This window comes from Homo sapiens, chromosome 1 (assembly GCF_000001405.40).
Source record: "Homo sapiens chromosome 1, GRCh38.p14 Primary Assembly".
Lineage (NCBI taxonomy): Eukaryota > Metazoa > Chordata > Mammalia > Primates > Hominidae > Homo > Homo sapiens.
Genome location: NC_000001.11, coordinates 151083510 through 151109893, shown reverse-complemented (window position 1 = coordinate 151109893; position 26384 = coordinate 151083510). Strand labels below are relative to the sequence as shown.

The 26384-nt window shown below is 43.2% G+C and overlaps 1 protein-coding gene across 9 annotated transcripts in view; it reads right to left on the bottom strand.

The window, feature by feature from the left end:
- GABPB2 (GA binding protein transcription factor subunit beta 2) overlaps positions 1-26384 on the bottom strand; it is a 54782-nt gene that overhangs the window by 15649 nt on the left and 12749 nt on the right. For 2 of the 9 annotated variants that reach the window (NM_144618.3, NM_001323906.2), the window contains exons 2-7: positions 21597-21704; positions 19321-19488; positions 16508-16702; positions 11892-12042; positions 6219-6332; positions 2672-2857 (exon numbers count right to left, since the gene is read on the bottom strand). In NM_144618.3, the coding sequence (NP_653219.1) occupies positions 2672-2857; positions 6219-6332; positions 11892-12042; positions 16508-16702; positions 19321-19488; positions 21597-21704 (922 nt within the window). Of the gene's footprint in view, positions 1-2671; positions 2858-6218; positions 6333-11891; positions 12043-16507; positions 16703-19320; positions 19489-21376; positions 21425-21596; positions 21737-26384 lie in introns of all 9 variants that reach the window. The other 7 variants (NM_001323909.2, NM_001323911.2, NM_001323910.2 and 4 more) reach the window with 6 other exon arrangements.

Here is a 26384-nt window from a genome sequence, read left to right as displayed (position 1 = left end):
GCACTCCAGCCTGGGTGACAGACTGTGTCCCTGTCTAAAATTAAAAAAATAAAAAAATTAGCCAGGTGTGGTGGTGCATGCCTGTAGTCCCAGCTACTTGGGAGGCTGAGGTGAGAAGGTTGCTTGGGAAGTCGAGGCTGCAGTGCGCCATAATCATGCCACTGCATTCTAGCCTGGGCAACAAAGGGAGATCCTATCTCAAAAACAAAAACAAAACAAACAAAAAAAAACTATAGGCCGGGTGTGGTGGCTCACGCTTGTAATTCCAGCACTTTGGGAGGCCGAGGAGGGTGGATCACGAGGTCAGGAGTTCGAGACCAGGCTGACCAACATAGTGAAACCCCGTCTCTACTAAAAATACAAAAAAATTAGCCGGGCGTGGTGGCACACACCTGTAATCCCAGCTACTCAGGAGGCTGAGGCAGGAGAATCGCTTGAACCCAGGAGGTGGAGGTTGCAGTGAGCCGAGATTGTGCCACTGCACTCCAGCCTGGAGTGACAGAGCAAGATTCTGACTCAAAAAAAAAAATATATATATATATATATATATTTGTGTATATATATATATTTGTGTGTATATATATATATATATATAAATCCCCACAATCATTTAAGCCAAGTCAAAATTTTAGTGACATTAAGAAAGGAAATTATACCAGTACCCTTCGTTTCAACCTCCAATATACATTTTTATTTTTTAGAGACAATGTTTTGCTCTGTTGCCCAGGCTGGAGTGCAGTGGCATGATTATGGTAGCATACTGCGACCTTGAGCTCCTGGGCTCAACTGATCCTCCTGCCAAAACCTCCTGAGTAGTTGGGACTATAAGCACGTGCCATCAACCAGGCTATTTTTTAAAAAAATTGCGTAGAGATGAGGGGGTCTTGCTATGTTGCCCCAGCTGATTTGGAACTCTTGGTCTCAAGCAATCCTCCTGCCTTGGTCTCCCAAAGTGCTAGGATTACAGGATTACATATGTAAGCCATTGTGCCTGGCCAACCTCCAGTATTTTTAAGGCATGGAGTTGTAATGATGGGCTTCCTCTTTTCAAAAAATTTTAACTATGTCTTTTTTGAATAACTGATACATTAAATGATTAAAAACATCAAGACTATAAAAGCATATACATTGAAAAGCCTCCCACTCATCCTTAGTACCCAATTGCCCTCCCTGGAAGCAACTAATGTAATGCCTCAGTATACTAATGTATAGCCTCAGTCTGAATATAGCTGGGCATGGTGGCGTGGAACTGTAGCCCCAGCTTCTCAGGTGGCTGAGGCGGGAGGATAGCTTGAGCCCAGGAGGTCGAGGCTGCAGTGACCCATGATTGCACCACCGCACACAAGCCTGGGTGACAGAACAAGACCCAGTTACACACACAAAAAAGAAAAAAGAACTGTTTAACCAAAAGGTACACAACATCACTGGGTGTGATGACTCATACCTATAATCCCAGCACTCTGGGAGGCTTAGGCGGGAGGATCACTTGAGGTCTGGAGTTCAAGACCAGCCTGGCTAACATGGTAAAACCCTGTCTCTACTAAAAATACACAAAAATTAACTGGGCGTGTTGGTGTGCGCCTATAGTCCCAGCTACTCAGGAGGCTGAGGCACAAGAATTACTTGAACCAGGGAGCTGGAGGTTGCAGTGAGCCAAGATCCTGCCACTGCGCTCCAGCCTGGGCAACAAAGAGGAACTCCATCTCAAACAAACAAGCAAACAAAAAAACCCAAAGGTACATCTTTATGTACATCTTTAATACCTACAGATATTACCAATATCCTTTTTAGAGGATCCATTAATGTGCACTCTCACAAGTGATTTATAAGAGTGCTTGTTTCCCTATACCTTTAACAACATAGTGTTATAATGGTATGTCAGTACAGTATTTGCACTTCTCGTTATGAATGAAGTAGGTCGAAAATATTTTCTTTTTCTTTCTTTCCTTTTTTTTTTTAAAGACAGAGTCTCACTCTGTCATCCAGGCTGGTGTGCAGTAGCACAATCACGGCTCAGTACAGCCTCAACCTCCTGGGCTCAAGTGATCCTCCACTTCAGCCTCCTGAGTAGCTGGGACTATAGGCGTGCGCCACCATGCCTGGCTAATTTTTGTATTTTTAGTAGAGATGGGGTTTTGCTATTTTGGCCAGGCTGGTCTTGAACTCCTGCTCTCAAGTGATCCTCCTGCGTCAGCCTCCCAAAGTGCTGGGATTACAGCCGTGAGCCGCCTCACCCAGCTATTTTCATATTTTTAAGAGCCATCAGGGCCGGGCGCGGTGAACCCGGGTGCGTGAACCCAGGAGGCGGAGCCTGCAGTGAGCTGAGATTGCACCACTGCACTCCAGCCTGGGTGAGAGAGTGAGAATCCCTTCTGAAGAAAAAAAAAAAAAAAGAGCCATCAGTACATTTTTTTTCTGTGAACTATTGGTTCATATTATTTGTTATTTTTTCCACCAGATCAACTGGTTTTTACTACAGATTTTATACATATTAGGCAATTAGCTTTTGCCAGTCTGGTTCCGTTTCTTTTTCTTTTTCAGAGCTTCTTTGCCCCAACTTGCATCTGGCAATCTCCCACTTCCACTATTTGTCTTAATGCCTCATTTTTAGGTGAGTATGGAGTATCTAAAATATCTTTTAATAAACAATTGTCTACAAGAGATAACTCACCTTGCTGTCCATCTTGCACAGTTACAATAAATGGCTGGCCAATGCCTCCAGTAGGGATTGAAGTTTGGATATTACCCAGAGGGACTCCATCAGTCACTATGGTGATGACCCTCTGGCCTCCACTCCCCATTACTTGCTGGATTGATGAGTCAACGGAATTTCCTTCTATAATTTCCTCTGTATTGGCTAGAGATGACAAAAGCAAATTTAAAATTTCAGCTTTTTAAAAACATAGGAGTATAGCAATTTCAACCTCCTTGAACCTGACAACATTCAGGGAGAGGAACATTTGAAAAAAAAAAGTGAGATTCAACAGTTCGCAAAAGGTTTTGTGAACAATGCTAAGTCAGAGGAGAAAAGAAAACAGAATGCATTAGAACAGTATTTTGTAAAATGTGTTCACTGAGGTATTAATAACTTTCACTAAAGATGGATTCTATGTATAAATACGTTTTCAAAATTCTGGTTTAAACATGCTTAAACTTTTTTGTTTTGTAGGAGTATCAGAGACTTCAATAGGCTAATAAACATTGTGATTTTCCAACAGGGTGTGATTCTCCAACAGAGTATAAGATACTCTGTTTCGGCTGGGCACAGTGGCTCACGCCTGTAATCTCAGCACTTTGGGAGGCCAAGATGGGCGAATCACTTGAGGCCAGGAGTTAGAGACCAGCCTGGCCAACATGGCAAAACACTGTCTCTACTAAAAGTACAAAAATTAGTCAGGCATGGTGGCACGTGCCTGTAGTTCCAGCTACTTTGGAGGCTGAGGCACGAGAATCGCTTGAGCCTGGGAGGCAGAGGTTGCAGTGAGTCGAGATGGAGCCACTGCACTCCAGCCTGAGCGACAGAGCGAGACTCTGTCTCAAAAAACAAACAAAAAAACCAGATATGCTGTTTCCCCAACATATTTGATATTGGAACCCTTTTTTTTTCAGAAAGTATCTTGAAAGTCTAAAATGGCTGGGCACGGTGGCTCACGCCTGTAATCCCAGCACTTTGGGAGGCCGAGGTGGGCAGATCACCTGAGGTCAGGGGTTCGAGACCAGCCTGGCCAACATGGTGAAACCCCATCTCTACTAAAAATACAAAAATTAGCTGGGCGTGTTGGTGGGCGCCTGTAATCCCAGCTACTTGGAAGGCTGAGGCAGGGGAATTGCTTGAACCTGGGAGGCGGAGGTTGCAGTGAGCAAAGATCACGCCATTGCACTCCAGCCTGGGTGACAAGAGCGAGATTCCATCTCAAAAAAAAAAAAAATCTAAAATAACCATAAATTACAGTAGATCATTTCTATAAGAAAACAGGGATATTTAATAGTGAATTCACAGAATAATATGTGAAGTAGTCAAAATATTGAAGTTTGATAGACAAAAATGTTAGATGGCTTTTTTCCTCTGATAAATCAAGAATAATAGCTGGCTGGGTATGGTGGCTCACGCCCATAATCCCAGCACTTTGGGAGGCCACGGCAGGAGGACTGCTTGAGGCTGGGAGTTGAAGACCAGACTGAGCAGTGAGACCATCCCCCCAAATTTGAAAAATTAATTGAGCGTGGTGGCATGCACCTTTAGTCCTAGCTACTCAGGAGGCTGATGTGGGAGGATCACTTGAGCCCAGAAGTTGAAGCTGCAGTGAGCTCTGATTGTGCCACTGCACTCCAGCCTGGGTGACAGAATAACAGAATAAGATCCTGTCTGTATCAAAAGAAACCCCAAACATATATATATATACATATATGTTTATATTAAATGTATATCAAATATATATACATTTGTATATATATTTGATATATATATTTGTATATATATTTGATATACATTTGATATATACATATATATACACACATATATATATAAAATAGCCAACGCTTATGTGCCAGGTACCATTCTATGAGTGTTATGTGTATTATGTTGAATCGAGATTTTCAGTTTGATTAGTCAATATCCCAATAAACTAAGCACTATTAGAGGAAATAATTCCTACCACTATGGAATGTCTCTATCTAAAGTGTCACAGGGCCAGGCGCGGTGGCTCACACCTGTAATCCCAGCACTTTGGAAGGCCGAGGTGGGCGGATCACTGAGGTCAGTAGTTTGAGACCAGCCTGGCCAACATGGCAAAACCTCATCTCTACTAAAAATACAAAATTTAGCTGGGCATGGTGGTGGGCGCCTGTAATCCCAGCTACTTGGGAGGCTGAGGCAGGAGAATTGTGCTTGAACCCCAGAGGTGGAGATTGCAGTAAGCTGAGATCATGCCACTGCATCCCAGCCTGGGTGACAGAGTGAGACTCTGTCTCAAGAAGGAAAGAAAGAAAGAGAGAAAGAGAGAAAGAGAGAGAGAGAGAGGGAGGGAGGGAAGGAGAAAGAAAGAAAGAAAGAGAGAGAAGAGAAAGAAAGAAAGAAAGGAAAGAAAGAAAAGAAAGAAAGAAAGAAAGAAAGAAAGAGAGAAAGAAAGAAAGAGTCACAGATAGAACTTTGCAGTAATAAGTGGGGTATCAACCATCCATATGCAACACATCTAGGTAGTTCAATGGAAATAAAGGATTCACACCTCTTAGAAACAAAGAACAGTTAAATATTAAAGCTGAAAGGTCCTGGATAGATAACCTAATCCAACCATCATGCCAAAGATGAGAAAACTAGAACCTGGAGAAGTGATTTATCCAAGATCAAAGAGCAAAGCAAAAGAATAGCAAGGACAAGTTTAATACACTGCTTTTCCCTTTGCTATGTTGTTCCCTCATATACATCTGAGTAGAGATCTTTATGATTACACCCATTCAGAAAAATAGGATTGGAATTGGAAGAATGTTCTTACCACCCAAATGTCATGGCAGAAAGAAATCAGAACATTCTGCTTTCATATATGATGGAGCAGATGGCCAGAGGGTTCCAGACAGATTTCTAAATGTCTACTGAGCCCTAACTATGACTATATGCCCCTGCCTATATGAAGCCTTAAGTCTTCCCCCCACAGACCACTAGCTCTGGCTAAATGACTTGAAAACTTTTTTGTTTTAAATATCAGAAAGGCAATACATAGCCTATATTTGCTCAACTCCTTTGGAAATGCCAAAATAACATCTCCAGTGAAAATAAAAGCAAGCCATGAAGTACAAAGGATATGACAACGAAAAAGGTACCAGTCCCATGTATTTTGATACTTTAATATAAGATATCTGGGCTGCTATTTTGAATCATTCCATGATAGCATCAGTCAAAACATAACATAGAGTATCTCCAAAAAAATCTGCTAATATGAGAATAGACATTTCAATCTGAAGTAACTAGAGTCAGGGAGAACAAACTTCAAATTGTAAACACACAAAGGAATAATTCAGTCATTCTCTGATATTATTCAGCTGTCTGATTATACCACCTAGCAATTTTTCTTTCTGATGTTCAATGATGCCACATCCCTTTTCCTTAGCTGCCTCTAATTAAATGCAATTCTTTAATAATATTTCATGCAAATTAAATCTGCTGGAGACTTAAAAACAAAAGAAAAAGTGGTGATTCACCCAGCAGCATATCCCTTACCTACCTGTGGCTCTGTGTGAGTTGGAGAGGGGGACTGATGCCTCAGCAAGAGCTGCAAGGGTAGCCAGCACTGAGGTGGTAGAATTTGAAAACTGTACTGTTGAGGCATGGGGGTCACCTATTTCAGTAAGAAAGACAAATGAGGTCCAATGTAGAGAAAAAATTGAGGCAAATTAAAAACAGCTTATTAAATCAAAACCTCAGCTTTTCCTTCTAATGTCCTCAATCTTGTTCTCTAACTCAAACTGATATAAGCCAATTATATCAGTGTTAAAATTCTTTTAAGGTTTAAAAAGTTTTTCCTTTAAAGTGGATTAAATTAATATACTTGGAGGGCCGGGCGCCATTCCTGCCTGTAATCCCAGCACTTTGGGAGGCCGAGGCGGGTGGATCACGAGGTCAGGAGTTCAAGACCATCCTGGCTAACATGGTGAAACCCCGTCTCTACTAAAAATACAAAAAATTAGCTGGGCGTGGTGGTGGGCGCCTGTAGTCCCAGCCACTTGGGAGGCTGAGGCAGAAGAATGGCATGAACCCGGGAGCCAGAGCTTGCAGTGAGCTGAGATCACACCATTGCACTTCAGCCTGGGCGACAGAGCGAGACTCCTTCTCAAAAAAAAAAAAAAAAAAAAAAAGTATACTTTGTACAGGGCCACTACATTCCCCTCATTTAATCATTCTCTTGGCACTGCCAGTGCTGAGCATTAGTAGCTAACAGACCAAGAGTGCTACCCACTCCCTAAGCTGACTGGGCAGAGCTCTCCTTGGCAGCAGGCAGTAAGTGTAAAATGCATACCTCACCCCAAGCTCAGCAGTGATAAGGGAATAGTCCCCTTCTGGGCTTTACCCAATCATACTACCTTTTTTCATCAGCTAGATAGATGTGAAGAATAGGATTCACCTCTAGTACAAGAATAGTTAAAAACCTAAAGTTTCATGGCCGGATGCTGTGGCTCATGCCTGTAATCCTCGCACTTTGGGAGGCCGAGGCGGATGGATCACCTGAGATCAGGAGTTCGAGACCAGCCTGGCCAACAAGGTGAAACCCTGTCTCTACTAAAAATACAAAAATTAGCTGGGTTGGTGGTGGGCACCTATAATCCCAGCTACTCAGGAGGCTGAGGCAAGAGAATCGCTTGAACTTAGGAAGTGGAGATTGCAGTAAGCCGAGATCGCACCACTGCACTTCAGCTTGGGTGACAGAGAAAGACTCCATCTCAATAAATAAATATATAAATAAAAAGTTTCATATATTGAATGTCAAAGGGTAGTACAATAGATTAACACTAAAAACGCTAAATGTTAAAAATACTTTAGTTATGTCAAGATGTACTTTTATTTTTTATTTATTTACTTTTTGAGATGGAGTCTCGCTCTGTCTCCCAGGCTGGAGTGCAGTAGCACGGTCTCAGCTCATTGCAACCTCCGCCTCCCGGATTCAAGCGCTTCTCCTATCTCAGCCTCCTGAGTAGCTGGGATTACAGGTGTGCACCACCACGCCCAGCTAATTTTTATACTTTTAGTAGAGACGAGGTCTCGCCATGTTGCCCAGGCTGGTCTTGAACTCCTGACTTCAGGTGATCTGCCTGCTTCGGCCTCCCAAAGTGCTGGGATTATAGGCATGAGCCACTGTGTCCAGCCAAGATGTACTTTTAAAAAGACTTTGTTCATAACCTTCTTCTCTTATATCTGTGTGCTATTCTCATAGCTAAGTTGTAAGAGGGAAGCGCACTAGATCTGGCAACAGACATGCCTAACTTTATGAACCAAAAGTATTACTCTAACTGTAGATATTTCCTTGTTGGGGAAAAAAAGTATTACTCAACAGTTTTGTATAAATCTTACTTTTATAAAATGAATTATATTTCTCTATTTCTTTCACTATAATTTCAGAGATACCTATTATGCCAGTTACAAATTTATTGCCTCTCAGTTCCGAATCTACCCTTCTTTGTCCTGCCTGGTGATGCTGGGGCTGGACCCTATAAACATTTCTTGTCAGCTGGCATGACATTAAGCTTTGTTAGTATAGAAGTAGAAGTAGCTGCTGCACCCTCTATTGGCTATTCCTGTATTCTTTTCTTTTTTCTTTTTCTTTTTTTTTTGAGACGGAGTTTTGCTCTTGTTGCCCAGACTGGAGTGCAGTGGCGCGATCTCAGCTCACTGCAACTTCTGCCTCCCAGGTTCACGCCATTCTCCTGACTCAGCCTCCCTAGTAACTGGGACTACAGGCGCGCACCACCATGCCCAGCTAATTTTTGTATTTTTAGTAAGACGGGGTTTCACCATGTTAGCCAGGCTGGTCTCGAACTCCTGACCTCAAGTGATCTGCCCACCTCGGCCTCCCAAAGTGCTGGGATTATAGGCGTGAGCCAGCACACTAAGCAATATATTTTATTTTTAAATGTACTCTTAATTTATTTTTTCAAGACAAACTCTGGCATTATCGCCCAGGCTGCAGTGCAGTGGTACAATCTTGGCTTACTCCAGCCTCTGCCTCCCAGGCCCAAGCTGTTCTCCCACCTCAGCCTCCCAAGTAGCTGGGACTACAGGTGTGCATCACCATGCCTGGCTAATTTTTTTTTTTTTGTATTTTTTGTACAGACCAGGTTTCACCATGCTGCCCAGGCTGCTCTCGAACTCATGAGTTCAAGCTATCCACCTGCCTCAGCCTCCCAAAGTGCTGAGATTATAGGCGTGAGCCATCGCACCCAGTCTACTCTTAATTTTTAAGTTTTCCCACTACCTATGCTTAAATATTCTTTCCAGTTTTTCTTCTTTCAAGAAGTCAGGGCCAGGCACGGTGGCTCATGCCTGTAATCCCAGCACTTTGGGAGGCCGAGGTGGGCAGATCACCTGAGGTCAGGAGTTTGAAACCAGCCTGGCCAACATGGTGAAACCCCGTCTCTTCTAAAAATACAAAAATTAGCTGGGCGTGGTGGCAGGCACCAGTATCCCAGCTACTTAGGAGGTTGAGGCACAAGAATCGCTTGAACCTGGGAGGCAGAGTTTGCGGTGAGCCAAGATCATGCCACTGCACTCCAGCCTGAGTGACAGAGTTAAACTCTGTCTCAAAAAAAAAAAAAAAAAAAAAAAAAAGGCCAGGCACAGTGGCTCACACTTGTAATCCCAATACTTTGGGAGGCTAAGGCAGGTGAATTGCTTGAGCCCAGGAGTTTGAGACCAGCCTGGGCAACATGGTGAAACCCCATCTCTACTAAAAACTACAAAAAAATTAGCTGGGTGTGGTGGCAGGCGCCTGTAATCCCAGCATTTTAGGAGGCCATGGCGAGTGGATCACAAGCTCAGGAGTTCGAGACCAGCCTGGCCAACATGGTGAAACCCCGTCTCTACTAAAGATACAAAAATTAGCCAGGCATGGTGGCAGGCGCCTGTAATCCCAGCTACTCGGGAGGCTGAGGCAGGAGAATCACTTGAACCCAGGAGGCGGAGGTTGCAGTGAGCTGAGATTGGGCCACTGCACTCCAGCCTGGGCGACAGAGCGAGACTCCGTCTCAAAAAAAAAAAAAAAAAAAGTTGTTTTAATCAGTGTGACTGAACCAATATGAATACAAAAGATTGTGAATGTTCTGATTACATGTATATATAAATTTAATGTAAAGTTTTTGTATCATCCTGCTGAATGCAAAATTATTTTAAATAACTGTTGATAGCTTATAAAATGAAGATCACTATTGCCCCCTGGTGGGCATGTTGGGGTCAAGCTTCGCTAAGATACTACGTTTTCATTTAATAGCTATTATTGAAGCCCTACTATAAAATGGACCTTGAAATACAAATTCTCAAACTCTCACAACAACCTCATAAAGTAGGTATTATTATATCCCAATTTTGCAGATAAGTAAACAAGGCATAGAAAAGTATGAAGTTTTCCTAGGGTTAAGCAGCTAGTCAACCAATAATTATTTGAGCACAATTCTGATTCCAAAATTCTGTGTATATCACATACATTGCTTCTTCTCTTTTACCACACTACCTCTCAATATCAATAGCTTAGTCAAGATCTTTCCTTTGACATTATAGAAACTTAACTAAGAATACTGTTATTTCAAATAAAAGAAACAGAAAAAGAAACCAATAGTCAACTGGAAAATTTATTTAAATGAGGACACAAGTTATTTCATTGTAAAAAAAATATTTATAAAAGGAGATGCTAACTGATAGGCCAGGTGCGGTGGCTCATGCCTGTAATCCCAGCACTTTGGGAGGCCGAGGCGGGTAGATCATGAGGTCAGGAGATCAAGACCATCCTGGCTAACACGGTGAAACCCCATCTCTAGTAAAAATACAAAAATTAGCTGGGCGTGGTGGCACATGCCTGTAGTCCCAGCTACTCAGGAGGCTGAGGCAGGAGAATCGCTTGAACCCGGGAGGCAAAGGTTGCAGTGAGCCAAGATTGCGCCACTGCACTCCAGCCTGGGAAACACAGCGAGACTCCGCCTTGGAGAAAAAAATAAAAAATAAAAAATAAAAAATAAAGGAGATGCTGAAAAACAAACTCATTCATTCTTATTTAGATAGAAGGTTTTGTTGAAAACATGCAGGTTTCTTTCTTTCTTTTTTTTTTTTTTTTTGAGATGAAGTTTCACTCTTGTTGCCCAGGCTGGAGCGCAATGGCGCAATCTCGGCTCACTGCAACCTCCGCCTTCCAGGTTCAAGCGATTCTCCTGCCTCAATCTCACAAGTAGCTGGGATTACAGGCACCCACCACCACAGCCGGCTAATTTTTGTATATTTAGTAGAGATGGGGTTCCACCATGTTGACCAGGCTGGTCTTAAACTTCTGACTTCAGGTGATCCACCCACTTCGGCCTCCCAAAGTGCTGGGACTACAGGCGTGAGGCACCGCGCCAAGTCAAAAACATACAGGTTTCAAAAGATCAACACCAAGTAGTTTTCTCTGCTGTTTTCTTTTTATATATGCACTAAGAACAAATCCAGACTCTTATACTTTATTCAGATAATCACATTTACCTCTTTTATATCAGTACTCCAAAAGCCGCTTATGTTTATTCTGCTTTGTTACTGCTTTAAACTATTAATGTTTATTTCCCTTATCAGTATCATGTTGAGGCACCTTCATATTTTCATTTTTGGTCTAGGCATAACCCTTCAATAGATTAATCTGTACAATATTTTCCTTTTTTTTTTTTTTTTAGAGACAGGGTCTTGCTCTGTCATCCAGGCCAGAGTACAGTGGCACAATTATAACTCACAGTAAGTCCAACTCCTGAGCTCACGAGATCCTCCCATGTCAGCCTCCTGAGTAGCTGGGACTGCAGGTATGCATCACCATGCCCATCCAATTTATTTTTAGTAGAGGATGGGGTCTTGCTATGTTGTCCAGTCCAGGGTGGCCTCAAGCAATCTTCCCACCTTGGCCTCCCAAAGCATTGGGATTACAGATATGAGCCACTGTGCCCAAGCCAGAATATTTTACTTTTAACACAATAAGTATTCCTTTGTAATCCCTATGTATGATCTTCCCTTCCCCAGAAAGAATAAGTACCTCAGCTTTAAAATCTATTACAAATCTTCTGCTTTGGCAATATTTTAATTAAGGAGTATTAGAAAGGGTATCCATTCATCTCCTGGAAAATCTAGGGTTCTGTTCTTTTTTGAGTCTAAAATAAATTTCATGTTATCAGAACATTACCTGAGGTTGTTTTGGTGTTGGTTGAAGAAATAAGGCTTGCGAGGTTAACAACCTCACCCGACGTGAAGATGAATGGAGCAGCCATACTCACAGGGTCAGTCACAGGGTTGGCTCTCTCTGGATTAACATTCACCTGATTCTGCATTGCTTCCTATCAAACAAGGCAGGATATTTCAATCAGAACACTTATTAGCTTTTCTTTTCTGTCTTTCTTTTTTTTTTTTTTGAGACAGTCTCACTCTGCCACCCAGGCTGGAGTGCAGTGGCACGATCTTGGCTCATTGCAACCTCCACCTCCTGGGTTCAGGCAATTCTCATGACTCACCCTCCCGAGCAGCTGGGATTACAGGCACACGCCACCACGCCCAGCTAATTTTTTGTATTTTTAGTAGAGGGTTTTGCCATGTTGCCCAAGTTGGTCTAGAACTTGTGGGCTCAGGCAAATCGCCCACCTTGGCCTCCTAAAGTGGTAGGATTACAGGCTTGAGCCACCGTGCCCAGCCCAAGAACACTTATTAGCTTTAGTTACACAGTTACTGAACAGCATATTCCACTCCCATCCCAATGCTCTATCAATTATAACTAGTTCCGGTACACAATGTCCCAGGGAGATCAGAGTTCTCATTAAGACCACCATTTTTTTTCAGACCAGGCCAACAGAGTTGTTAGGTTGCTTTCCAAAGCTTGTTCCTACTTCAGGAAAGCAAAGGTGTATCATTTGCAAAAACTTCTAGACAATTCAATCAACCTCTATGAATCTTGTTTTTTTCATTTGAAAAATGAGGGAGTCAGGCCAGGCACGGTGGCTCATGCCTGTAATCCTACCACTTTGGGAGGCTGAGGCGGGTGGACCACTTGAGGTCAGGAGTTTGAGACCAGCTTGGCCAACATGGTGAAACCCTGTCTCTACTAAATGCAAAAATATCAGCTGGGCGTGGTGGCAGGTGCTTGTAATCCCAGCTACTCGGGAGGCTGAGGCAGGAGAATTGCTTGAACCCAGGAGGCCAAGATTGCGGTAAGCCAAGTTGGTGTCATTATACTCCAGCCTGGGCGACAGAGTGAGACTCCGTCTCAAAAAAAGAAAAAAGAAAAATGAGGGAGTTGACCTGAATAGCCTAAAAAGTAATTTCCAGCACTAACATTTTATGATTAATTATCTACAAGTCAGTGTGCTAGCAAGAGATCCCTGCAGAGTATCTATAGAGAACAATATTCTCTAGAGTTTTGTCCAACTACTTGTTCCATTCGGCCATTGAAAAAATTCCTGAGAGAATATATAACAAGCAAATAAATAAGTGCCAGATTTTAAAGTCTCGCTCCATATGCTGTACTTTTGCTTCCAGGGATATCTGTTCAATTTTGGTGAAAAGTAGCTTATCTTTATTACTTTCAGAAGCAATTTTCTACAAACATAATCACTACTTTAAAAAGTCCAGTTATGAAAGGGCTCTAAACAAAGAATTGAAAGTTCAAGGGACTAACCAGTATATAGACCACCTGTCAATTAAAAAAAAATACTGAAAATGCAGCAGAAATGGCTTGCTTGCTTGCTTTCTCTGTCTCTCTCTCTCTCTTTTTATTTTTTTTTGAGACGGAGTCCCACTCTGTCGCCCAGGCTGGAGTGCAGTGGTGCGATCTCGGCTCACTGCAACCTCCGCCTCCAGGGTTCCTGCCTCAGCCTCCCAAGTAGCTGGGACTATAGGCGCACGCTGCCATGCCCGGCTAATTTCTTTTGTATTTTAGTAGAGACAGGGTTTCATCGAGTTGCCCAGGCTGGCGTTGAACTCCTGAGCTCAGGCAATCCACCCTCCTCAGCCTCCCAAAGTGTTAGGATTACAGGCATGAGCCACCACGCCCAGCCAGAAATGACTGTTTTTCATATATAATTATCCCCTTGACTAAGAGCTTCAAATGAAACAGGTTATCCATTCTTTGGATATTGTGAAATTCCTTTTTTTTTTTTTTTTTGAGAGTCTCACTCTTGTCTCCCAGGCTGGAGTACAGTGGCACGATCTCAGCTCAGCTCACTACAACCTCCACCTCCCAAGTTCAACCGATTCTCCTGCCTCCATCACCCAAGTAGCTGGGATTACAGGCACCCACGACCAAGTCAGCTAATTTCTGTATTTTTAGTAAAGATGAGGTTTCACCATGTTGGCCAGGCTGGTCTTGAAGTCCTGACCTCAGGGGATTCACCCACCTCGGCCTCCCAAAGTGCTAGGATTACAGGCGTGAGCTACCATGCCTGGCCTAAATTCCTTCTTGAATTTGCCCTTTTCCTTTATCCTCCACTAGGACATGAAGTGTTCACAGCACGATAAAATTAAAGATAGGAAATAAAATATTACAATATTACATGATAAACAGACATCTAGTAAGTGCTATGGGAGCACAGAGGAGGGAAGAGTAGTACTGCTACGTGGCGAAATAGTAGCACTTCCTTGGTTCAAGTTCTCATTGGCCCTTGCCTGGCCTAATGAAAGTCACCGTATAGTTATTTAGCATTAAGTGTCTCTCTCATCTGTGTGCCACATTCCAAACAATCATCTTTTTAAACCAAATTTAGTCATATCAGTCCTCTATTTAAAAACTTCTATCCAAATGCATCGCCCACATAATAGTTCAAACTCCTTCACACGCTGTAAAGCATCCCTACATTCAGAATCCAGCCTAACTTTCAAGCTTAGCATCTGCCACTCCCAAACTCTACTTCCTTTGCCCATTCTCTCATCACTCAACTACTTTTTCTTGAACATTCCACGTTCTTTCACACCTCTGTGTCTTTGATTTGCTCTTTTTCTAGGCTAGAATATAGTTTTCTCACTTCTCTGCCTACTTCAATATTCAGTTCAGATTCCACTATTCCCTCCTTTGTGCTCCCATGGCACTTACTAGATATCTATTTATTATGCAATATTATAATATTTTCTTGCCTGTCTTTACTTTTATCATGCTTTCAACACTTCATGTCCTATTAATTTTTTTTTTTTTTTGAGATGGAATCCTGCTGTGTCACCCAGGCTCAAGTGCAGTGGCGCGATCTTGGCTCACTGCAACCTCTGCCTCCCAGGTTCAAGTGATTCTCCTGCTTCAGCCTCCCGAGTAGCTGGGATTACAGGCACACGTCACCATGCCCAGCAAATTTTTTTTGCATTTTTAGTAGAGACGGGATTTCACCATATTGGCCAGGCTGGTCTCGAACTCCTGACCTCAGGTGATCCACCTGCCTCGGCCTCCCAAAGTGTTGGGATTACAGGCATGAGCCACCACGCCTGGCCCATGTCCTGTTAATTTTTATATCCCCTGTCCTATTGTTCCCTGATGTACAGTGCTGGCTTAAGAAATTAATGGGCAGGCCAGGCGCAGTGGCTCACGCCTGTAATCCCAGCACTTTGGGAGGCCGAGGCAGGCGGATCACCTGAGGTCAGGGGTTCAAGACCAGCCTGGCCAAAATGGTGAAACCCTGTCTCTACAAAAATACAAAAATTAGCTGGGCATGATGGCAGGTGCCTGTAATCTCAGCTACTCAGGAGGCTGAGGAGGAAGAATCACTTGAATCCAAGCAGTGAGCCGAGATCGTGCCATTGCACTGGGCAACAGAGTGAGACTCTATCTCGGGGTCGGGGGTGGGAAACAGAAATTAATGGGACACAGCCGGCACAGTGGCTGACACTTGTAATCCCAGCACTTTGAGAGGCCAAGGCAGGTGGATCACCTGAAGTTAGGAGTTCGAGACCAGCCTGGGCAACATGGCGAAACCCTGTCTCTACTAAAAATACAAAAATAAGCTGGTCATGGTAGTGTGTGGCTATTGTCCCAGCTGCTCGGGAGGCTAAGGTGGAAGAATCCCTCAAACCCAGGAAATGGAGGCTGCAGTGAGCTGAGATCATGCCACTGCATTCCAGCCTGGGCAACAGAGTGAGACTCTGCCTCAAAAAAAAAAAAAAAAAAAAAAAAAAGGACGAAATCATCACAGTTAATTTTAAATTCTGAAGTGGCTTCCTTATCACTCAATATGCTTTAGAGCTTCATAGATAGTCCCCAATTTACAAGGGTTCAACTTACAATTTTTCAACTTTGCCATGGTGTGAAAGTGATCTGACTTATGATGGGGTTACACCTGCATAAACTCATCATAAATGGATCCAAAGTAACCCTATCATAAGTCAAGGAGCATCTGTATACTGTCTCACATCAGTTGATGAATATTCAGAAAACATCAAGTAACTTTTAATATTGTCCCAAGTCAAGTTTAATTAGAAAGGGAAATTTTCATGGAGAAAAAGACATTCTAAAGCCAAATAAATGTTTTTGGTACTAGCCACAACATGGTTCTTTAATCACCATGATTAATTCAGGGCTTTATAGAATATATATATTAAAAAATATATATAAAAAATATAAAAAATATATATGCGTATACATATATACACACAAATATATATTCTATACATAGCTGTATTTTAAAGATACTAATGACACTGAGTCACAAGATTGAGACATATTAGAAGTGCTACTTTAATAAAATAGGGAAAATTCAGTTTTGATTCAGCTCCTACAAAAAAATCCTTAACTTCAATTAACATACATTCTGGAGAGTATAAAAAGAACCACACCTGGAGGATGACCAAAATCTCAGCATTGTTTTTCTCCAGAGCTATGTCAAAGGCTGATTTATCAAATTTGCTGAAAGCATGGACATCAGCTCCATATTTGATAAGTAACTCTACGACATCTCGATGGTGGCGCTCTGTGGCCCAATGCAAAGCTGTCATCTTCAGCATGTCCTTGGCATTCACATCTGCACCATTCTGTCACAGAAAAGCATTTTTTTCAACAAACAGCGGTTATAGTAGCACAGGTGCAACATCCCATCATCAAATACAGAGGATTTCCATAGAGATTACGTACTCAAATCTAGATCACATTTAAGGAATATCAAAGGGAAAAACATTTCTCAAATTCTCCTAAATGCTGACAGACATAATGCTTTCAACGAGTGGGTCCTCTAAGGACATCAATGGGAAATTAAACAGATGGAAGACAAAGAGAGAAAGAACAGATTTTTGTTGCATTTATTAACAGAAAGCCAAGTGCCTGAATAAATAGGCATAAGTGCAGAGAATACCTTCAGGAACGGAAAGAAGAAAAATCAGTAAGTCTGTTTAGCCTTTAAAAAATTAGAAAAGCTTGAGCTCAGGAGTTCAAGATGAACCTGGGGAACATGGTGAAAAAACATGCCTCTACAAAAAATTCAAAACATTAGCCAGGCGTGGTAGTACATGCCCGTTGTCCCAGCTAAAGGGGAGGCTGAGGTAGGAGAATCTCTTGAGCCTGGGAGGTGGAGGCTGCACCACCACACTCTAGCCTGGGTGACAGAGTGAGACCACCGTCTCCAAAAAAAAAAAACAAAAACCATTAATAATAATAATAATAAATTGGAAAACTAGGCTGGGAGCAATGGCTCATGCCTGTAATCCCAGAACTTTGGAAGGCTGAGGATGGAAGGATCACTTGAGGCCAGGAGTCTGAGACCAGCCTGGTCAACGTAGTGAGATCTCATCTGTATTTTTTTTTTAAATATGATTTTAAAAAAATGGCTGGGTGCGGTGGCTCACGCCTGTAATCCCAGCACTTTGGGAGGCTGAGGCGGGTGGATCACGAGGTCAAGGGATGTAGACCATCCTGGCCAACATGGTTAAACCCCATCTCTACTAAAAATATAAAAATTAGCTGGGTGTGGTGGAGCACGCCTGTAGTCCCAGCTACTCCGGAGGCTGAGGCAGGAGAATCGCTTGAACCTGGGAGGCAGAGGTTGCAGTGAGCCAGTATTGCGCCACTGCACTCCAGCCTGGCGACAGAGCAAGACTCCATCTCAAAAAAAAAAAAAAAAAAAAAAAAATTAGAAAACTGGCTAGGCACAGTAACCCCACACCTGTCAGTGTTGGGAGGCTGAGGCAGGAGAATTGCTTGAGGCCAGGAGTGCAAGGCCAGCCTGGGCTGGGCAATACAACGAGACCCTATTCTCTACAAAAAATAAAAACAAAAATAAATTAGCTGGGCATGGTGCTGCATGCCTGTAGTCCTCCCAGCTACTTTGGAGGCTGAGGCAGTAGGATTGCTTGAACCCAGATGTTGAAAACTGCAGTGAGCTATGATCATGCCACTGCTCTCCAGCCAGGACAAAAGAGTGAGACCCTGTCTCAAATTTAAAAAATTGTTTTAGGGCCGGGCGTGGTGGCTCACACCTATAATTCCACCACTTTGGGAGTCCGAGGCAGGCAGATCACAAGGTCAGGAGTTTGAGACCAGCCTGGCCAACACAGTGAAACCCCATCTCTACTAAAAATACAAAAAAAAATTAGCTGAGCATGGTGGTGGGCGCCTGTAATCACAGCTACTTGGGAGGCTGAGGTAGGAGAATCGCTTGAACCCAGGAGGCGAAGGTTACAATGAGCCAAGATTGTGCCACCGCACTCGAGCCTGGGCGATAGTGCGAGACTTCATCTTTTTTTTTTTTTTTTTTTTTTTTTTTTTGAGACACAGGAGTGAGCCACCGCACCCAGCTGAGAGTTCATCTCAAAAAAAAAAAATTGTTTTAATAAATTAGAAAACAGTCAGGTGCGGTGACTCACATCTGTAATCCAAGCACTTTGGGAGGCCAAGGCAGGTGGATCACCTGAGGTCAGGAGTTTGAGACCAGCCTGGGCAACATGGTGAAACCCCGTCTCTACTAAAAATACAAAAATTGGCTGGGTGTAGTGGCGGGCGCCTGTAATCCCAGCTACTCGGGAGGCTGAGGCAGGAGAATCACTTCAACCCAGGAGGCAGAGGTTGTGGTGAGCAGAGATCGTGCCACTGCACTTCAGCCTGGGCCACAAGAGCAAGACTCCTTCTCAAAAATCAAACAAACAAACAAAAAATAAATAAGAAAACAGACTCCTCATAGCCATGAAGGTTTTTTTTTTTGTTTTTTTGTTTTTTTGTTTTGTTTTGTTTTGTTTTGAGACGGATTCTTGCTCTGTTGTCCAGGCTGGAGTGCAGTGGCGTGATCTTGCCTCACCACAACCTCCGCCTCCCAGGTTCAAGCGATTCTCCTGCCTCAGCTTCCTGAGTAGCTGCGATTACAGTCGCGCACCACCACGTCCTGCTAATTTTTTTTTGCTTTTTTTCAGTAGCGATGGGGTTTCACCATGTTGGTCTGGCTGGTCTCGAATTCCTGACCTTGTGATCCACCCGTCTCGGCCTCCCAAAGTGCTGGGATTATAGGCACCCGGCCTGCCATGAAGACTCCTGGAGATGCAACTTAATGCTATAACTGTCCTAAACTTAATCATTCCCAAGTCATTTCCTAGTACCCATTTAAGTAAGAAAACAGGAAAGTGGATGCCTTTTTAACAACATAACCTTGCCCCTATTCTTGCTTTACCCGAACAAGCAGTTCCACGATGTGCGCATGTCCATCGGCTGCAGCCATGTGCAAGGGGGTCCTGTCTACTTTAGTCCGGGCATCCCTGCTAACACCTGCTCGAAGGAGTACTTCTGCTGTGGAATAATGACCATATTGAGCTGCAAGGTGGAGGGGTGATGTTCCAAGCTGTGGAAAAATAATGCTCATTGAATATCCACTGTGTGCAGAGTCCTAGATCGTTACTGGAGAGATACAAATGAACAAGCTATGGTTCTTGTCCTTCAAGAGAGAATCTGGTTGGGCAGATAAAACTGAAAAAATGCTTAAATTTACAAATTAAAGGCCAGGGGCCAGGTGCACTGGCTCACACCTGTAATCCTAGCACTTTGGGAGGCCAGGGTGGGCAGATCACCTGAGGTCAGGAGTTCAAGACTCTTCTGGCCAACATGGTGAAACCCCGTCTCAACTAAAAAATACAAAAAAAGTTAGCCAGGCGTGGTGGTGGGCACCTGTAATCCCAGCTACTCAGGAGGCTGAGGCAGGGAGAATTGCTTTGAACCTGGGAGGCAGAGGTTGCAGTGAGCTGAGATTGTGCCACTGCACTCCAGCCTGGGCGACAGAGTGAAACACCGTCTCAAAAAAAAAAAAAAATTAACATGCTAATGGACAAATAAATATACCACCAATTGAATAAGTACTAAGTATAATGGCTTTATGTCAGGTGGATTTATCAGTTAAGATTCCCTAAAGGACGTGACTTTACGCAACGTCTAGAAGGTTAAAACAAACAAAAAAAGGATCAGGCTGGATGTGGTGGCTCATGCCTGCAATCCCAGCACTTTGGGAGGTCAAGGCAGGAGGACTGCTTGAGCCCAAGAGATCAAGACCAGCCTGGGCAACACAGAGAGACCTTATCTCATAATAAATTAAAAAATAAATAAATAAAGTAAATTTTAAAAAAGAAAAAGGGTAGAGACTAGAAAGTTACATGTGGAATTTGAGGTACAAATTTGACTGACTGGAAGAAAAGTTTTTTGCCACAGTAAAGCAGGGCAAAATGAATGATGAGATGAAGACGCAATAAAAATTTAGCAATGATGTATCAACAGCAATAAGTAAGTCTGTCATCCCAGTGTAAATCTTGTAAGAGTTATCTATCAGCATCCACTTTGGCCAGAGCTCTATTCCCTTCTTTTTGTTATGCTCTTTATTTTAAGCCTGTTTAGTTTATTCTTTGCTTTTTCATATATTTAGCCTCTCTGCCTGACTGAATTTAATTCACATTGTTCTTTCCAGGTCTATTTATAGAAATGCTAATTTCATGGGTTTCCTTTTCTTTCTTTTTGTGAAATGCTAATAATCTGTTGGCCTCTCAATTAATCAGTCCAGAATAGAGGTCACTCATTCATTGAAATTGTTAAAATTAGGCAATGTGTACAAAATCTGTGACTGCTAAGAAAGCCCACATTATAACTTGGACCTGTTTCTTCTGAAAGTCTTTGGTCTCCAAGATGGTTGAGGCTAAATTACACCTTCCTCTTTAATGTTTTTTGAACAGTGGTAAAGGAAACAAAACAGCTAGATGACTTCTTTTTTTTTTTTTGAAACAGAGTTTCCAAGCTGTAGTGCAATGGTGCAATCTCCGCTCACTGCAACCTCCACCTCCCGAGTTCACGCGATTCTCCTGCCTCAGCCTCTCAAGTAGCTGGGATTACAGGCGTGCGCCACCATGCCCAGCTAATTTTTTGTATTTTTAGTAGAAACGGGTTTCACCATGTTAGCAGGCTGGTCTCGAACTCCTGACCTCAGGTGATCCGCCCGCCTTGGACTCCCAAAGTGCTGGGATTACAGGCGTGAGCCACCACGCTCAGCCTAGACAATTTCTTATTAACCAGGGCATATTAGAGAAAAGGAAACAAGGAATTTATTAGTCTAGGAATGCATTCTTATTATATTGATTTTGTTTAATTTCTAGCTAATTACAGAAGCCTATAACCCAAGTACACTCCAGAGACAGTTAAACCTTTAGAAAATACTCTAAAAAACATTATAGAAAATCACAAGTATATAATACCTTACAATTATCACCTATATATCCACAGGAGACTCTCAATTTGGAAAACTAAAAGAAAAAGAAAACCACATATTCAGATGAGACAAAGAAAATAAAACTCTTGTAAGGGATATGAGGTAGAAAGGGAGTGAAGAAAAACCAATAGTCTGTTAGCCTTTAAGAAAAATGTTGGTAAAAGCATACATTGGAAATAATTAAGAGACCTCTCCTCTAAGCTTACCCAGTCTGTGGTGAATGGGGCGCCATTTGCCATCAACGTTCTCACTTCATCATCTTGGCCTTTTCTTGCTGCTTCTAGCAACCTCTTTCCCAAGTCCACCAAAGACATCTTTATGCATAGGAACAAAAGTTTTCAGGTAGCTATAACTCGAACATAAGGAAAGCCGCCAATACATTTTTTAGAAGACTTCTTATATTTGAATGTATATAAGATACATCTCAAGTTGACTGTCTGGTAGGTCACTTCCTTTCTACCTCGTCTAACACAAACAATAAAATATTTGGGAATGTTTCAAGCCCTAATACATAGTTCTATCACTTTCAATCCCCAGAAAAATACTCTGGAAATATCTGCAACACACTACGACCTTTCTAGTTTAAGGAATCGATAAAACACCATTTCATTCCCCTGAAATGAAGAAGGGTACAATATTATTTTAAGGAACATAATATAAAATAATAAAGTATGTACTTTGATCTCCAGGAAGGGAGCAAGGTGGATGCCCATCTGTGAAACTACTGCTTGATGGAAATTATGAGAGCCCTTATTAGCAACTAACTGCTCTCTCTGGAGGTTTGTAGGTCTTTGGATAGCACAATGAAACAGGACACATCAAGGTTTCCAAATAAAACTGTAACTCTCTTTTTTTTTGAGACTAAGTCTCGCTGTATTGCTCAGGCTGGAGAGCAGTGGTGTGATCTTGACTCAGTGCAACCTCTGCCTCCCGGGTTCAAGCAATTCTCCTGCCTAAGCCTCCTGAGTAGCTGGGATTACAGGCACCCGCCACCATGCCTGGCTAATTTTTGTATTTTTAGTAGAGATGGGGTTTCACCATGTTGGCCAGGCTGGTCTTGAACTCCTGACCTCAAGTGATCCACCCACCTCAGCCTCCCAAAGTGTTGGGATTACAGGCGTGAGCCACTGCGCCCGGCCCAAACTACATCTTAATCTAGTTTTTATCTTCTGACTATCGTGTAATCATATAATCATGCTTAAAATTTAAGGAGACAAAGAGGGGTGCAGTGGCTTGGGACTGTAATCCCAGCACTTTGGGAGGTCAAAGTAGGAGGATTACTTGAGCTCACGAGTTTGAGACCAGCCTAGGCAAAATGGCGAAACCGTCTCACAAAAAATACAAAAATTGGCTGGGCGCGGTGGCTCACGCCTGTAATCCCAGCACTTTGGGAGGCCAAGGCAGGCAGATCACCTGAGGTCAGGAGTTTGAGACCAGCCTGGCCGACATAGTGAAACCCTGTCTCTACTAAAAATACAAAAATTAGCCGGGCGTGGTGGCACATGCCTGTAGACCCAGCTACTTGGGAGGCTGAGGCAGGACAATTGCTTGAACCTGGGAGGTGGATGTTGCAATGAGCTGAGATCGCACCACTGCACTCCAGTCTGGGCGACAGAGCGAGACACTATCTCGAAAAAATAAAAAATATATATACAAAAAAATACAAAAATTAGCTGGGCATGGTGGTACGTGCCTATAGTCTCAGCTACTCAGGAGGCTAAAGTGGGAGGAAAACTTGAGCTCAGGAGGTGGAGGTTGCAGTGAGCTGAGATTGCACCACTGCACTCTAGCCTGGGCAACAGAGCCAGATCTTGACTCAAAAAAAAAAAAAAATTAAGAACAAGCTTTCACTGATTAAACACTGATCTCGTTAGGCCAGTAGCTCAACAAATATGGTTTATGGACCCCTGGTGGTCCCTGATGCCTTTTTAGGGAACTATGAGGTCAAAACTATTTTTGTTATAATACAAAAACATTATTTGCCTTTTTTCTTTTTCCATGTTTACATTAGCACTAACGGTGCAAATCCAACAGTGGGTATAACTGCTGGTGCCTTAGCATGAATCAAACTGTGCTATTGGTTATTGTATTCTTCACTGCCATGTAATCTCAAGGGAAAATTGCCAGTTCTACTTAGGAGTGTCCTGGATGACACAGCAAAAATTATTAATTGTATTAAATCTCAACACCTGAATATATGTGTTTATAATTTATGTGTGACAAAATGGGAAGTATACATAAAGCACTTTTTTTTTTTTGAGACAGGGTTTCACTCTGTCACCCAGGCTGGAGTGCAGTGGGCACAATCACAGCTCACTGCAGTCCTGACCTCCTGGGCTCATGGGATCCTCCCATCTCAGCTTCCCGAGTAGCTGGGACTACAAGCACACACCACCATGCCCAGCTAATTTTTGTATTTTTTGTAGAGATGGGGATTCACAATATTGTTCAGGCTGTTCTCAAACTCCTGGGCTCAAGCAATCGACCCATCTTGGCCCCACCAGTGTTGGGATTACAGGCGTGAGCCACCACACCCAGCCTCTTCTCTACCTTTTTGCCCAAATGACAATTATATTGTACCCACTATTCTGCATGATCTGTCCATAGCAATAGAATCCCAAAGTGTTGGGATTACAGGCATGAGCCACTGTGCCTATCCGACATAAAATACTTCTGCTGCTTACTGAAACATGATGGTTTTCTTGAGAAAAAGCACTACACGATTAAGTTACAAGCTAAAATAACTGCTTTTGGCCAGGCGCAGTGGCTCACGCCTATAATCCCAGTACTTTGGGAGGCCCAGGCGGGTAGATCACGAGGTCAGGAGATCAAGACCATCCTGGCTAACACGGTGAAACTCCATCTCTACTAAAAATACAAAATATATATATATATATTAGCCAGGTGTGGTGGCAGATGCCTGTAGTCCCAGCTACTCAGGAGGCTGAGGCAGGAGAATGGTGTGAACCCTGGAGGCGGAGCTTGCAGTGAGCCGAGATTGTGCCACCGCACTCCAGCCTGGGCAACAGAGCGAGACTCCGTCTCAAAAAAAAATAAAATAAATAACTGCTTTTATCATGGAACATCATTTTATTATTTTATTTTTGAGACAGAGTTTTGCTCTCATCACCCAGGCTGGAGTGCAATGGCATGATTTCAGATCACTGCAACCTCTGCTTCCCAGGTACAAGCGATTCTCCTGCCTCAGCCTCCCAAGTATCTGGAATTACAGGCACCCATCACCATGCCCAGCTAATTTTTTTATTTTTAGTAGAGAGGGGTTTTGCCATGCTGGTCAGGCTGGTCTCGAACTCCTGACCTCAGATGATCTGCCTGCCTCGGCCTCCCAAAGTGCTGGGATTACAGGTGTGAGCCACCGCGCCTGGCCATTTTATTTTATTATTTTTGAGACGGGTTCTTGCTCTGTCACCCAGGCTGAAGTGCAGTGCCGTGATCACAGCTCACTGCAGATTTGACCACTTAGGCTCAAGCAATTCCATCTCAGCCTTCCAAGTAGCTGAGACTACAGGCAAGTGGCACCATGCCCAGCTAATTTTTTTTTAAATTTTTTGTAGAGACAGAGTCTGCAACATCACTTTTATATGAAGGAATGATGAATAGACCAAGGGCTCAGGTATATGGCAGGTATGTTTTTTAAAAATGAACAGCTGGCTGGGCGCGGTGGCTCACACCTGTAATCCCAACACTTTGGGAGGCAGAGGCGGGCGGATCACAAGGTCAGGAGATCGAGACCATCCTGGCTAACCTGGTGAAATCCCATCTCTACTAAAGATACAAAAAATTAGCTGGGCATGGTGGCGGGTACCTGTAATCCCAGCTACTCGGGAGGCTGAGGCAGGAGAATGGCATGAACCTGGGAGGCGGAGCTTGCAGTGAGCCGAGACTGCGCCACTGCACTCCAGCCTGGGCGACAGAGTGAGACTCCGTCTCAAAAAAAAAAAAAAAAAAAACAGCTAGGGCCGGGCGCGGTGGCTCATGACTGTAATCCCAGCACTTTGGGAGGTCAAGGCGGGCTGATCATCTGACGTCAGGAGTTTGAGACCAGCCTGACCAACATGGAGAAATCCCATCTCTACTAAAAATACAAAAAAAATTAGCCGGGCATGGTGGCGCATGCCTGTAATCCCAGCTACTCAGGAAGGCTGAGGCAGGAGAATCACTTGAACCGGGAGGGAGGTTGCGGTGAGCCGAGATCCCGCCATTGCACTCCAGCCTGAGCAACAAGAGTGAAACTCCGTCTCAAAAAACAAAACAAACAAACAAAAAAAAACAGCTGGGCACAGTGGCTCACGCCTGCAATTGCAGCATTTAGGGAGGCAGAAGTGGGAGGGCAGTTTCAGCCCAGGAGTAAGAGACTACCCGACTACCCCGGGCAACACAGTAAGGCCCCATTTCCACATTAAAAAAATATATATATTTTTTTATATATATAATAAAAATAAAAGGATGGGCACGGTGGCTCATGCCTGTAATCTCAACACTTTGGGAGGCTGAGGGGGCTGGATCACGAGGTCAGGAGTTCAAGACCAGCATGTCCAAGATAATGAAACCCCATCTCTACTAAAAATACAAAAATTAGCCGGGCATGGTGGCGGGTGCCTGTAATGACAGCTACTCGGGAGGCTGAGGCAGAGAACTGCATGAATCTGGGAGGTGGAGGTTGCAGTGAGCCAAGATTGCACCAAGGCACTTCAATCTGGGTGACACAGCAAGACTCCATCTCAAAAAATAATAATAACAAATAAATGAATAAAATAAAAAATGAACAAAGTGAGCTGCCACTTCAAGGAGAACAACTGACAGTATATATACATATATATATATATAATTTTTTTTTTTTCTCTCTATAGAGACGGAGTCTTGCCCTGTCACCCAGGCTGGAGTGCAGTGGCGAGATGACGGCTTACTGCCAACCTCTGCTGCCTGGGTTCAAGCAATTCTCTGCCTCAGCCTTCCGAGTAGCTCGGATTACA